This window comes from Homo sapiens, chromosome 1 (genome assembly GCF_000001405.40).
Source record: "Homo sapiens chromosome 1, GRCh38.p14 Primary Assembly".
In the NCBI taxonomy this organism is placed as follows: Eukaryota; Metazoa; Chordata; class Mammalia; order Primates; family Hominidae; genus Homo; species Homo sapiens.
The window spans coordinates 45,601,864-45,615,210 of NC_000001.11; the positions used below are offsets into that span (position 1 = coordinate 45,601,864).

Below are 13,347 nucleotides of genomic sequence, written 5' to 3' on the forward strand. Positions count from 1 at the left end.
ACTGCCTCAGCCTCCCGTAGCTGGGACTACAGGCACCCGCCACCACGCCCGGCTAATTTTTTGTATTTTTAGTAGAGACGGGGTTTCACCATGTTAGCCAGGATGGTCTCGATCTCCTGACCTCGTGGTCTGCCCGCCTCGGCCTCCCAAAGTGCTGGGATTACAGGCATGAGTCACCGCACCCAACTGAGAAAATACTCTAGTCAGGCTTCTGGGAATGTTGCCTTTAAGATTTCTTTTGATTTTGTGATGGTAAATAAGTGTGTTAGCCAGGCCTTGCCAGAGTAGTCCAAAAGTTTTAAAAAATGAAACTATTGCTCAAATGTAGCAGGTATTCAAAAAATACTGATTTAAACAGTACTTGACACTAGAAAAAATCTTTTTTTTGCAGTCTGGATGTGGATAGTGAAGCTAAGAAACTATTGGGTTTAGGACAGAAACATCTGGTGATGGGGGATATTCCAGCAGCTGTCAATGCATTCCAGGAAGCAGCTAGTCTTTTGTAAGTATTGTATATTTTGCTATGATGTAATATTATGTTCTAATAAACCTTGAGTTATCAAAAATTATTTTATGGGGAAAAAGCATGAAGAGCAAGAGTTTTAAAACATTTGATTATTTTTCATGTGGTTTGTACCAGTAACTATAAGTGTAAAACTTAAATATCACCAAGCAGTTCCACCCTTTCATTTTCCTGAGTATGTAATTTGTATTCCAGTCACTACTAATTTGGGTGACCACACCTTGTCCTGGTTTATCTAGGACCCCTCTCCCCATCTCTCCACCCCCGCTTTTTTTTGTTGAGACAGGGTCTCTGTCACCCAGGCTGGAGTGCAGTGGCACAATCTCATGCTCACTGCAGCCTCAACCTCCCAGGCTCCCCAGTAGCTGGGACCATAGGTGTGTGCCACCATGCCCAGCTAATTTTTGTATTTCTTTTGGTAGAGATGGGGTTTCCCCACATTGCCCAGGCTGGTCTCGAACTCTTGGGCTTAAGCGATTCGTCCACCTTGGCCTCCCAGAGTGCTTTGCAAAGGGATTACAGGCATGAGCCACTGAGCCCCAGCCTGACTTTCCGAGTTTTAACACTAGAAGTTCTGTGTCTGTGGAAACTCTTTAGGTCCAAGCAAGTCATGATTGATAGTGCTATTATTAGCACAGCATTTTTTCATACATTTTTAGCACATTTTTCATACATTCTTAGCACTGTTGTTGGATTTGCTTAGAAGTTGGTAGCTACCACCAGGTAGCCATATAGACCTATATCCTGGAGGAAAAGGTTAGCTTTAGTGCCTTAAAGATCATTTATTTTCCCCAAAGACTTTAATGTACCTCCATTATCTGAGAGAAAAAAAAGCAAGTTAAATCGTCAAGCAACAGGCTTTTGGTCTATGGCGAGGTTTGAGTTTCCTCAAATATAGTATTAGCAATTGCAATTGAACTTGAAGGTCAATCATTGCATACATTACATACAGTTGATTACATTACATATAGTTAAGTTAAATCTTCCTTATAAAAGAAATGGTTATAACAAAGCGTTTGTGGGTTTCAGGTTTGACGCTTAATATCAATCCATTCTTTTCCTAAACCCCTACTGCCTCTGCCAACATCCAGAACAGAATCTTACTCCTGGATATCTGCAAAAATCTTTTGTCTGATTCCTGTCCTCTTTGTTCCTCTCTGTTTGACCTTAATGAATTGGGGCTCTGAGAGACTAAATTTTATCTGGTAGTATTTAGAGATTTTTTTTTTTTTTTTTTTTGAGATGGGAGTTTCGCTCTTGTTGCCCTGGCTGGAGTGCGATGGCGCGATGTCAGCTCACTGCAACCCCCGCCTCCCTGGTTCAAGTGATTCTCCTGCCTCTGCCTCCCAAGTAGCTGGGATTACAGGCATGCATCACCACGCCTGCCTAATTTTGTATTTTTAGTAGAGATGGGGTTTCTCCATGTTGGTCAGGCTGGTCTCGAACGCCCGACCTCAGGTGATTCACCTACCTCGGCCTCCCAAAGTTCTGGGATTACAGGCGTGAGCCACTGTGCCCAGCTGTATTTAGGTATTTTTATTTAAAAATGCATGGTTGTCTTACAACATAAAATGTTACCTAAGTTTTTAAGCACACATAAATACTTTCTCTTAGGTTATTTTTCCCAGATTACTGGAGAGGTCAGTATTCCCACTTTCCTGCCATTAAGGGTATTTAGGAGGAAAATTTGAGATGTCTTATTCTAATCTAGTAGACTACCCTTAAACATGACCTCCATCACAATTTACTGCTTAGATTCTCTAGTTACTCTCAATAGACTCTTAGGCCATTAGTTGGCCTGACTTTGCATGAATTCTGCCAGTATTTTACTCCATGAAAGCCAGTCTTCTTACCTTACATAGAGAAGTACTTTCTCCTTTTGTTCATTATACTTACGTAATTTTTGTCCTTCTTCCTTCTGTCTAGATATTAATAGCTAAGACTTAATACACAGTGCTATTTGTTGTCTAAACATTGTTTTCAGTGCTTTTACATACATTAACTCATTTAGTTCTTGCAATAGCTCTTTGAACAAACAGTTATTAACATTCCCATTTTACAGATGAGAAAACTAAGGCACTGTGAGAATAATTTGTCTAAGGTCTCACAGCTAGTTATGGGTTAAAGGTAGGATTTGAATCCAGTTAGAAGAACTCCAGATATTCTGCGCTTTACATCATGCCTTTCCATGGGCCTTAATCATCCTCTAGGTCCCAGCCAAAGGTCCTTTAACTATTCTGATCCATACTGACATCCATCTTTTAGCAGGAGGAATACCTATTAATACCTTAGGGCTGTTTGGCCCTACATTATGTATTACTAATTGTAGCACATTTATGTCACTTAGGATGTATATATATTATATATTGATAAAGAGCATACAAAATTTTCATGCATTGTTTAATGTCACTTTGACCTTGAAAGCAAGAGGGGTATTGGTTTTCTAGGAGTATGTTACTGGAGAAATATCAATTTATAACTGAAGAACTAGAACTAAATGTTTTAGATTAGATGGTAATTCAGATTTTAGATGTTTATTCTCTTTGTAGAGGTAAGAAGTATGGAGAGACAGCTAATGAGTGTGGAGAAGCCTTCTTTTTCTATGGGAAATCACTTCTGGAGTTGGCAAGGTATGGATGTTGTATTTAAAAACTGAAGTTTCCTTGTTAAGATTGTTTACTAGCTTTGAGATTTCACAGGAGCTAAGCAAGATTGGTTTTACCTAGAGAGTTTTGAAGGAGCTTGAAGTAGTGATGGAAGTTGTGAATGGCACTTGATACAATTAGTAGTTATATTTAAGTTTTGACTTTTGGAGTCAGTAGAAGCAAAGTTCTTTCCAGTAGTGAATGATCCAAAGTTCAGTGTAGAGAATCTTTAAAAGCACTGTGAGCTAGCTCAAAACAAGGACTGAATAGAGGACAACTGGAAAGAATTAGCAAGTGAGACTGTCCAGTAAAAAAGACTTTTACTATTGAAAAGTTCTTGGCTATGTTCTATCAGAATTTATTAATCAGAATAAGTTCTGTTTAGGGTATACAAACTAGCAAATGATGTCATCTATTTAATCTCAGTTCTGGTAAGGTTTTTTTTTTTTGAGATGGAGTCTCAGTCTGTCACCCAGGCTGGAATGCAGTGGCGCGATCTCGGCTCACTGCATCCTTCATCTTCCGGGTTCAAGTGATTCTTCTGCCCCAGCCTCCTGAGTAGCTGGGACTACAGGCATGTGTCACCACACCCGGCTAATTTTTTATTTTTAGTAGAGACAGGGTTTCACCATGTTGGCCAGGCTGGTCTCGAACTCCTGACCTCAGGTGATCCACCCACCTCGGCCTCCCAAAGTGCTGGGATTACAGGCGTGAGTCACTGCGCCTGGCCCAGTTCTGATAAGTTTTTTTTTTTTTTTTTTTAAGACGGAGTTTCACTCCTGTCACCCAGGCTGGAGTGCAATGGTGCGATCTCTGCTCGCCGCAACCTCTGCCTCCCCGGTTTGAGCGATTCTCCTGCCTTAGCTTCCTGAGTAGCTGGGATTACAAGTATGCGCCACCATGTCCAGCTAATTTTGTATTTTTAGTAGAGATGGGGTTTCTCCATGTTGGTCAGGCTGGTGTTGAACTCCTGACCTCAGGTGATCTGCCTGCCTCCACCTCCCAAAGTGATGGGATTATAGGCGTGAGCCACCGTGCCTGGTCTCTGGTAAGTTTTTAATCTCGTAATCATACAGAACTTTCTCATGATTTGCCGTGAAAATCTTGCTAGAGTATTTTTGGCTATTTAGAGAAATCGGGTGGATACAAAGTTTGGGAAATAGTATGGTCCTATTACAAATGGAATGCATATAGGTCTTGTTCTTTTGACAAGAGACATGCTTTTCAGGCGGCTGGATGGAGGAATATGCTTATTTCCTTCAGTGCTCTTGCAGTCTTAATTTATATTACTAAAGTTTTGATCATTGCTTCCTTGAATATACATAGTTTTGTATTGCCTGCGCTTGGCTTACACTTCTTGCTTTTATAATATAGGACTGTATTTTCTGTCTTAGAAAAAATTGCTAGGTTCTAGCCATCAAACCTTTGGTGCTTTCTTTTGTTCTCCTAGAATGGAGAATGGTGTGTTGGGAAACGCCTTGGAAGGTGTGCATGTGGAAGAGGAAGAAGGAGAAAAAACAGAAGATGAATCTCTGGTAGAAAATAATGATAACATAGATGGTATGTGGAGTTGCATGTGACATTCAAGAGATGCGACGTTGTATATTTCTTGTATACAGTGGTGGAAACGGGGCTCTACCTGTCCTGGATGGTCTCTCCTAAGATGCTTGGGGTGATGATGCCTGCATCTGGTGGAGATTGCAGTGGGGATAGCTGTTTACTGAAGCTGACAGCAGATTTTTGAAAGAGAATAACTTATTTTCTCAAGTAAATCCAGTTATTTCGATTGGGGTTTTTTAAATCAAAAAGATAAAAGCAAGATTAAATTGGTGTTTTAAATACTATTACAACCTTAAGTGTTTTTCTGATGCAAATTTTTTTAAACAGCCTGTGCAGTTCAGTTATTTTAATAGCAGTACTTTTAGAGCCCTTGTACATTTTTTATGTGTGCGAAAATTATATAATTTCTAAGCTGAATTTGGCTGCTATAGTTTTACATATCAGATGGGGGAGAATGAAAAGCTTGGCATCTCTTACCTAACTGGTAATCAGAATGCTCAAGTAAAACAATACCTAGTGTAACAAGCTTGGGTTTCTTTTGCAGTAAGTTGCTCTGCTAGCCGGGATGCTCCCTTTCCTTTTCTCTAGGGGGCAGATAATTTTTAGGCCATCTGCTGAAACTTGGTAGGCTTTTTGAGGGTTTAAAGGGAATGTATTTTTAGTTTCCATTTATGCCTTTATCATTAAACTCGAAGACATGTTTATGCTTCATGTTCTTTAACCATGTAGAGGAAGCAAGGGAAGAGTTGAGAGAACAGGTTTATGACGCCATGGGAGAAAAAGAAGAAGCCAAAAAAACAGAAGACAAGTCTTTGGCAAAGCCTGAAACTGATAAAGAACAGGACAGTGAAATGGAGAAGGGTGGAAGAGAAGATATGGATATAAGTAAATCTGCAGAGGAGCCACAGGAAAAAGTTGACTTGACTCTAGATTGGTTAACTGAAACCTCTGAAGAGGCAAAAGGAGGAGCAGCACCAGAAGGACCGAATGAAGCTGAGGTCACTTCTGGGAAGCCAGAACAGGAAGTACCAGATGCTGAGGAAGAAAAATCAGTTTCTGGAACTGATGTCCAAGAAGAGTGCAGAGAAAAAGGAGGTCAGGAGAAGCAGGGAGAGGTAATTGTGAGCATAGAGGAGAAGCCAAAAGAAGTTTCAGAAGAGCAGCCTGTGGTGACTCTAGAAAAGCAGGGCACTGCAGTGGAGGTAGAAGCAGAGTCTTTAGACCCGACAGTCAAGCCAGTGGATGTGGGTGGGGACGAGCCAGAGGAGAAGGTAGTTACCTCTGAAAACGAGGCAGGAAAGGCGGTTCTTGAACAACTGGTAGGTCAAGAAGTACCACCTGCTGAAGAGTCACCAGAGGTGACAACAGAGGCTGCAGAGGCCTCAGCTGTAGAGGCTGGATCAGAAGTCTCTGAAAAGCCTGGGCAGGAGGCTCCAGTTCTCCCTAAGGATGGTGCAGTCAATGGACCGTCAGTTGTAGGAGATCAGACTCCTATTGAACCACAGACTTCTATAGAAAGACTGACAGAAACAAAAGATGGCTCAGGACTAGAGGAGAAGGTCAGGGCAAAGCTGGTTCCTAGTCAGGAGGAGACTAAGCTGTCTGTAGAAGAGTCTGAGGCAGCTGGAGATGGGGTTGATACCAAGGTAGCCCAGGGAGCTACTGAGAAATCACCTGAAGACAAAGTTCAGATAGCTGCTAATGAAGAGACACAAGAGAGAGAAGAACAGATGAAAGAGGGTGAAGGTAACCGGGATATGCAAGAGCTGCAGTGGGTGGAGTACATTCTGGATTTGACTCACTAATTATGGGTAAAAGTCAGCCTTCCATTCAGGATTTTCCGTCTGCCTTTGGATTAGGAAAGGGCTAAATGAAAAGGGGGGTAGTTTAACAAGGTCGTGATAGTCAAGTAAGTTCAATCAAAAGCAGCAAGTCTTCTTTAGCTGGCTTATAAACTAACACTTTTACTAACTGCAAAATAGGCCTTCTGTGTGATTTCTGAGACTTGGCTAGCTATCAGTAACTTGTTGCAGCATACTAGCCAATAAAGTGGGATGGAAAAGGTAGATGAGGGGTGGGGTAGGTAGGGAAATAGTGGGCTAGGCTGGCAGAGAATGCTGAATGGATGTTCACTTGCATGCCTCTGGATTTTAAAATTATTGTTCACATGACTCCTTTTCTGTGCGTTGGGAAGCAGCTACAGAGCAGTAGAATCCACTGAATTGGTACACTGAAGCAGGCATGCCATTTAAATGAAGGCAGTTAACCTTGACTGTTGTATCACCAGAGTTAAAGAATTCTGGTGCCCCTCTTTAAGTCTTCAGGAAGTGTTTAGAGGCTTATTCACATTAGTTAAAACAGGCCCCCCCCACCTTCCCCAAGGCAACAGAAAACATAACCATTAGCTCTCTTCCTGTTTTCCTTCCTCATTTCATGCTTGCTTCGGCTGCTAAACTGAATTTTTGTTACTTAGAATATTATAAAGTGTGGATGCTTTCTATAATGCTATTGGTCTAAGTGTGATTAAATTTCATTAAGGTGTATAAGCCTCTAATTATTACATAACTGGCACGTCTGACTTTTGCTATCATTTGAGGATTCTACTGTATATAAGTTTCATCTAACATTGGCATTAATAACCACAGGTATATTCCAACTAATTGTTACTTCTTGTAATTGCCAGACTACTTCAAGAGTTCTCGTAAGTTTTAGATTTTCAGAGACCCATCTTCAATACTTTGAACTCATTCTGGTAAACTTCCTTCTACCTATGTGCAGGTCCCTGTACTCCAGCCAACACAGGCTCAGTAACTGGAAATGAATTGGCTAAAATGGTAGCACCATTGGGTTTCTTAATGGAGCTTTAGGAGTTCTTTATGGAAAAAAGCACAGAACTAAATTCCTCAAAAAACAAACAAACAAAACCACACACACAAAAAAACAAAACTCCCATGTCTTGATCTTAATGATTGTGAGCAAGGATGGTAAAAAGCTCTGCTGGCTGACCCCTAAGACCTTGAATGGTAAGCTACAATACAGATATCACAGTCCCTTACAGATTGTTCGAAAACTCGTTGGATCATAATTAACATTGTTAGAACTCTCATACATTACATCTGATCCTAAAACAATACTATGTGATAGGTAGTATTGCCCAAGTTACAGTGATGAGGTTGAGGTTTAAAGGTTACATGACTTGTTTAGGGTCATAATACTGAATCTGAACCCAGATCTGCCTTGAATATATTATTCTTCCCAAGTTACCACACATTGAAGAAGACAGTGTTCATCCTTTTCCTACACCCACTGCTTAGAAATTTTGTCGTGGGCTGGGCGCAGTAGCTTCACACCTGTATCCCAGCACTTTGAGAGGCCGAGGTGGGCAGATCACATGGTCAGAAGTTTGAGACCAGCCTGGCCAATATGTTGAAACTTTGACTCTACTAAAAATACAAAAATTAGCTGGACGTGGTGGCATGCGCCTGTGGTCCCAGCTACTTGGGAGGCTGAACCAGAAGAATCGCTTGAACCCGGGAGGCAGAGGTTGCAGTGAGCTGAGATCATGCCGCTGTGCTCCAGCCTGGGCAACACAGCGAGTCTCTGTCTTCCAAAAGAAAAAAAAAATCTGTCACTTATTTAAAAAGTTAACTATATTTTAAAAGCCCCAGGCTTTTCATATGCTGCATTTTTTGGTGTTGTATATCAGATACTGTTCTGCTTGTAAAGACAATACAGTTTTCCATATTTTACAAAAGAAGAAATGGGAGAAAGGGGTTTAAGTAACTTGCCCTAGTCACACAGTAAGGAGAAGCCTGCTACCCAAACTTCTGGCTTGAGTACTCAACCACTTACTTTCTGTGCTTTATTTCCCTTTACGTGGCAGCACCATTCTGCAGAAAACTTCCAAGCAGTTTTTTTCACTTAAAAATTAAAACCCTGTTTACTGCCACCTCTTGACTCTTTGCCATGTGTTGGGCTGTACATTTGCTTCTAATAAAGATAATTGGTCTGTTCTTTTTCTCTTTGAATCGGGTCTTGCTCTTTTGCCAGGCTGGAGTACAGTGGCATCGCAGTCATGGCTCACGACAGCCTCAAACTCCTATGCTGAAGCCATCTTCCTCCCTCAGTCTCTCAGGCAGCTGAGACTATGGGTGTGTATCACCATGCCCAGCTGGGGTGCAGTGGTGCGGTCTCGCTCACTGCAACCTGCATCTCCCAGGTTCAAGCGATTCTCCTACGTCAGCCTCCTGAGTAGCTGGGACTAAAGGCACATGTCCCCAGGCCCGACTAATTTTTTTGTATTTTTACTAGAGATGGGATTTCACCATGCTGGCCAGGTTGGTCTCGAACTCCTGACCTCAGGTGATCCACTAGCCTCAGCCTCCCAGAGTGCTGGGATTACAGGTGTGAACCATTGCACCTGGCCCACCATACACCATTATCTTCTCATATCCACATTTCCAAGTGGGTCCGGGCTTAGTTCCCCAAAGTTAGACCAGATGGATGGTCTTATTAACTCTGCCCATCCTCTAGCAGAATATGCAGAAAAGCTGAAGTAGATTTACATATGTAGGATAATTGATAGAAAAGTAAATACTTCATCTTCCCAATTTGTAGGAAAAATTAAATTGATATTGTTATCTTCTATTCTTACCTGGTATCTCTTCCTACTCATACCAGAATACTAGAAGACAACCTCTAATTTGAAACAAAATATCTTAATTACTTGGAAGTTTTACATCAAATTTTTAAATTAAAATTCCTATAATTGCTTCAGAAGAATATTACTGGTTCCTCTTGAGGAATCTGTACCATCTTCAAGGAATGGTGGGGAGCTAGGTTAAGGAGAAAGCCATCGCCATTACTTTTTTTTTTTTTTTTTTTTTTTTTTTTGAGACAGAGTCTTGCTCTGTCACCCAGGCTGGAATGCAGTGGCGTGATCTAGGCTCACTGCAACCTCCGCCTCCTAGGTTCAAGTGATTGTTCTGCCTCCGCCTCCCGAGTAGCTGGGACTACAGGCATGTGCCACCACGCCTGGCTAATTTTTTGTATTTTTAGTAGAGACGGGGTTTCACCGTGTTAGCCAGGATGGTCCCAATCTCCTGACCTGGTGATCTGCCCACCTTGGCCTCCCAAAGTGCTAGGATTACAGGTGTGAGCCACCGCGCCTGGCAGCCATTGCCATTACTTTAAAACCTTTCCCAACTTGTGCCCAGGTATCAATGGCAATGCCCTGATGTCCTCAGTAAATTTGTTAAAGTATCTTTTTTTTTTTTTTTTTTTTTTGAGACGGAGTCTTGCTCTGTCACCCAGGCTGGAGTGCAGTGGTGCGATAATCCGCTCACTGCAAGCTCCACCTCCTGGGTTCACGCCATGCTCCTGCCTCAGCCTCCCAAGTAGCTGGGACTACATGCGCCTGCCACCACACCTGGCTAATTTTTTTGTTTTTTGGTTTTTTTTTTTAGTAGAGACGGGGTTTCACCATGTTCGCCAGGATGGTCTCAATCTCCTGACCTCGTGATCCGCCCGCCTCGGCCTCCCAAAGAGCTGGGATTACAGGCGTGAGTCACCGCGCCTGACCCTGTTAAAGTATTTTCTAAGCTTCTTTGAAAACGGAATCTCTTTGTGGTTGCTGCTGATAAAACTCCTTTGACCTGACGATTGCTCTAAGTCCTAATTGCCATATTTATATTCCCATAGTAAGAGTGTTTGGAGATAGTGTTTGAGCTTTTTTGCTGGTGTTAAAAATGCATAATGAAAGATGGCAGAGAGAGGCATATTATATCCAATTCATGAGTTGTTTGTGTTAACAGAAAGCTTATTTTAATCACTTAACATTGTTGATTTGTCTAATCACAGTAGCGCTATTGATTAGGAGCCTGACCTTTAGATGGTTGACTTGTGAGTGTATTCAATATGGTGAAATATGGTGTTGATATATGGCTGCAGATTTTAGAGGTGTCATTAGCAAAGGTATAGGAGTAAAATAGGGGTTATAGTATTCCTTACTCAAATTCTGTATGTGCTAGAGCTGGCTGGAGTCTGTGGCATGCTCATTGGTGTAAGTCGGTAAGGACTATGCTTTTTGCTCCACATCTCTGTTGTGGGAAAGCTAGTCTCTTGAGCATTCTTGATCAGAATGGACTGGAATAATTTAACTTTCGTACTTTCCCAGGCTATTAGTATTATCTAATGAGTGGCTTAAAGATACCAGAAACACTGACTGAGGTCTCCACCTGCTTCTGGCTGAATGAATGGGAGCTTCTAGCCATTGAATAAGAGGCAGTAGCCAATGTTTCTTATTCTGAATGGTCCAGGTTGACTTTTATAAGAGAAACACTCAGCCTTTTAATTGCTGAAGGTCTGACCCATAGACTAAGATTGCACATTCTTAGTCTAGGTTACACTTGAACTAGACTGCACCCACTGACGATATATTCAGTTCAGGTGTTAACTCACTTGGATTAGCATCTGGCCTGTCCTATCTGAATATAGGTTGAGACGTGTATTGGAATCTCTGACTAGTCAGAATACGTTCTTAGTTATATTCTCAATACTGAGGAATTTTTACTTGTAGAAACTGAAGGCTCAGAAGAGGATGATAAAGAAAATGATAAGACCGAAGAAATGCCAAATGATTCAGTCCTTGAAAACAAGGTATGTTGTTAGCCACTCAGTACTGTTGTCAGCCTTTTTCTGTTTTTGGGAGACTGGAGCTCACTCTTGTTGCCTAGGCTGGATTGCAGTGGGGTGATCATGATCATGGCTCACTGCAGCCTAGACCCGGGCTTAAGTGATCGCCTCACCTCAGCCTCTCAAGTAGCTGGGACTACAGGCTTGTGCCAACATGCCCAGCTAGTTTGCAGGACTGTAGCTTACCTAGTTTAGGCACGATTATTATTTTTTTAAGAGATAGAATCTCTGTCTCTGCCCAGGCCGGAGTGCACTGGCATGATCAGGGCTCACTGTATCTTTAGCCTCCTGGGTTCAAGGAATCCTTCTGCCTCATCTTCTCAGATAGCTAGGTCTCCAGATGTCTGCCACCATGTCTGGCTAATTTGTTCTCTAATTTTATTTTGTTTAGACGGCTGTCTTGCTGTGCTGCCCAGGCTGGTCTCAAACCTGGCTTCAAGTTATTCTCCTGCCTCAGCCTCCCAAAGTGTTGGGATTATAGGCATAACCCACCATGCCCAGCCCTAGGCATGATTATTATAGATAACTGTCTCTTGATTATGGATTAGGGACCCTTTATTCATGCCTAGGATGGGTGGATATATTTGATCCTGGGGTTCTTGTGTGTTAGTATGTGAGCCAACATTTCACTGTTAAAATATCAGTGACATGGTCATGACTTAAGACAGTATGTGGACCCATTCTCTAGATTTTAGGGAGAAAGTCCAAATTTTGAATCGTATATCAACTTTTTTTAAGCTACGCTAAGTTATACATTTAGATTTGTATTTGAAAAAGATGCCTATCTTTTTATTATTTGGTTATACTTTAGTCTCTTCAAGAAAATGAGGAGGAGGAGATTGGGAACCTAGAGCTTGCCTGGGATATGCTGGATTTAGCAAAGATCATTTTTAAAAGGTAAAACTCTTGGTGCTTCTAGGCTTGGGTTGGGAGTTTGGTGGTTAAATAGAAACCAGTTAGGGTTAGACAGGTACTGTTAAGGTTTTTGATCAATTTTCCTTCTTTTAGGCAAGAAACAAAAGAAGCACAGCTTTATGCTGCCCAGGCACATCTTAAACTCGGAGAAGTTAGTGTTGAATCTGGTAATGCATTTTCCATTTTATACTCTCCTACTCTCTTCAGCTCCCTCGTTCTTCCTCTAATAGATTCTCTGGAACCGAACTTGATCTTTAAAAAGATAGGTCTGTGTTCCCTGTAGACCCTGGAACAATGAACAGTCTCTTCCAAGTGGCACTCAGTCTTCCAGTAGGTTTGTTTTGTTTTGTTTTTTTTGAGATGGGGTCTTGCTGTGTCGCCTAGGCTGGAGTGCAATGGCGTAATCTCGGCTCACTGCAACCTCCGCCACCCGGGTTCAAGCGATTCTCCTGCCTCAGGCTCTCGAGTAGCTGGGATTACAGGCACCCACCACCACGCCCGGTTAATTTTTGTATTTTTAGTAGAGACGGGGTTTCACCATATTGGCCAGGCTGGTCTTGAACTCCTGACCTTGTGATCTGCCCGCCTCAGCCTCCCAAAGTGCTGGGATTACAGGTGTGAGCCACCACGCCCAGCCTCAGTAGGTTTTTAAAAGTCATTTTGACTTTCTTTATAGCCAAGGGTCCTGGAAATAACTATAAACAAAAATGGAATGTTAAATATGGGTGCATTCCCATAGGATGGGTCTGAATTCTGGAAGTATTTTATGTTGAATGCTGTCCATTTACTTGCTCTTCTTTTTCTCTTTGTTAGAAAACTATGTGCAAGCTGTGGAGGAGTTCCAGTCCTGCCTTAACCTGCAGGAACAGTACCTGGAAGCCCACGACCGTCTCCTTGCAGAGACCCACTACCAGCTGGGCTTGGCTTATGGGTACAACTCTCAGTATGATGAGGCAGTGGCACAGTTCAGCAAATCTATTGAAGTCATTGAGAACAGAATGGGTGAGTGAA

The 13,347-nt window shown here is 42.0% G+C and overlaps 1 protein-coding gene across 8 annotated transcripts in view; it reads left to right on the forward strand.

The window, feature by feature from the left end:
• NASP (nuclear autoantigenic sperm protein) overlaps positions 1 to 13,347 on the forward strand; it is a 34,853-nt gene that overhangs the window by 17,823 nt on the left and 3,683 nt on the right. For 4 of the 8 annotated variants that reach the window (XM_005270888.4, XM_011541509.3, NM_002482.4 and 1 more), the window contains 8 exons: positions 392 to 502; positions 3,073 to 3,153; positions 4,619 to 4,728; positions 5,458 to 6,474; positions 11,306 to 11,385; positions 12,233 to 12,318; positions 12,430 to 12,503; positions 13,150 to 13,338. In XM_005270888.4, the coding sequence (XP_005270945.1) occupies positions 392 to 502; positions 3,073 to 3,153; positions 4,619 to 4,728; positions 5,458 to 6,474; positions 11,306 to 11,385; positions 12,233 to 12,318; positions 12,430 to 12,503; positions 13,150 to 13,338 (1,748 nt within the window). The remainder of the gene's footprint in view (positions 1 to 391; positions 503 to 3,072; positions 3,154 to 4,618; positions 4,729 to 5,457; positions 6,475 to 11,305; positions 11,386 to 12,232; positions 12,319 to 12,429; positions 12,504 to 13,149; positions 13,339 to 13,347) is intronic. The other 4 variants (XM_005270889.4, NM_152298.4, XM_017001356.3 and 1 more) reach the window with 2 other exon arrangements.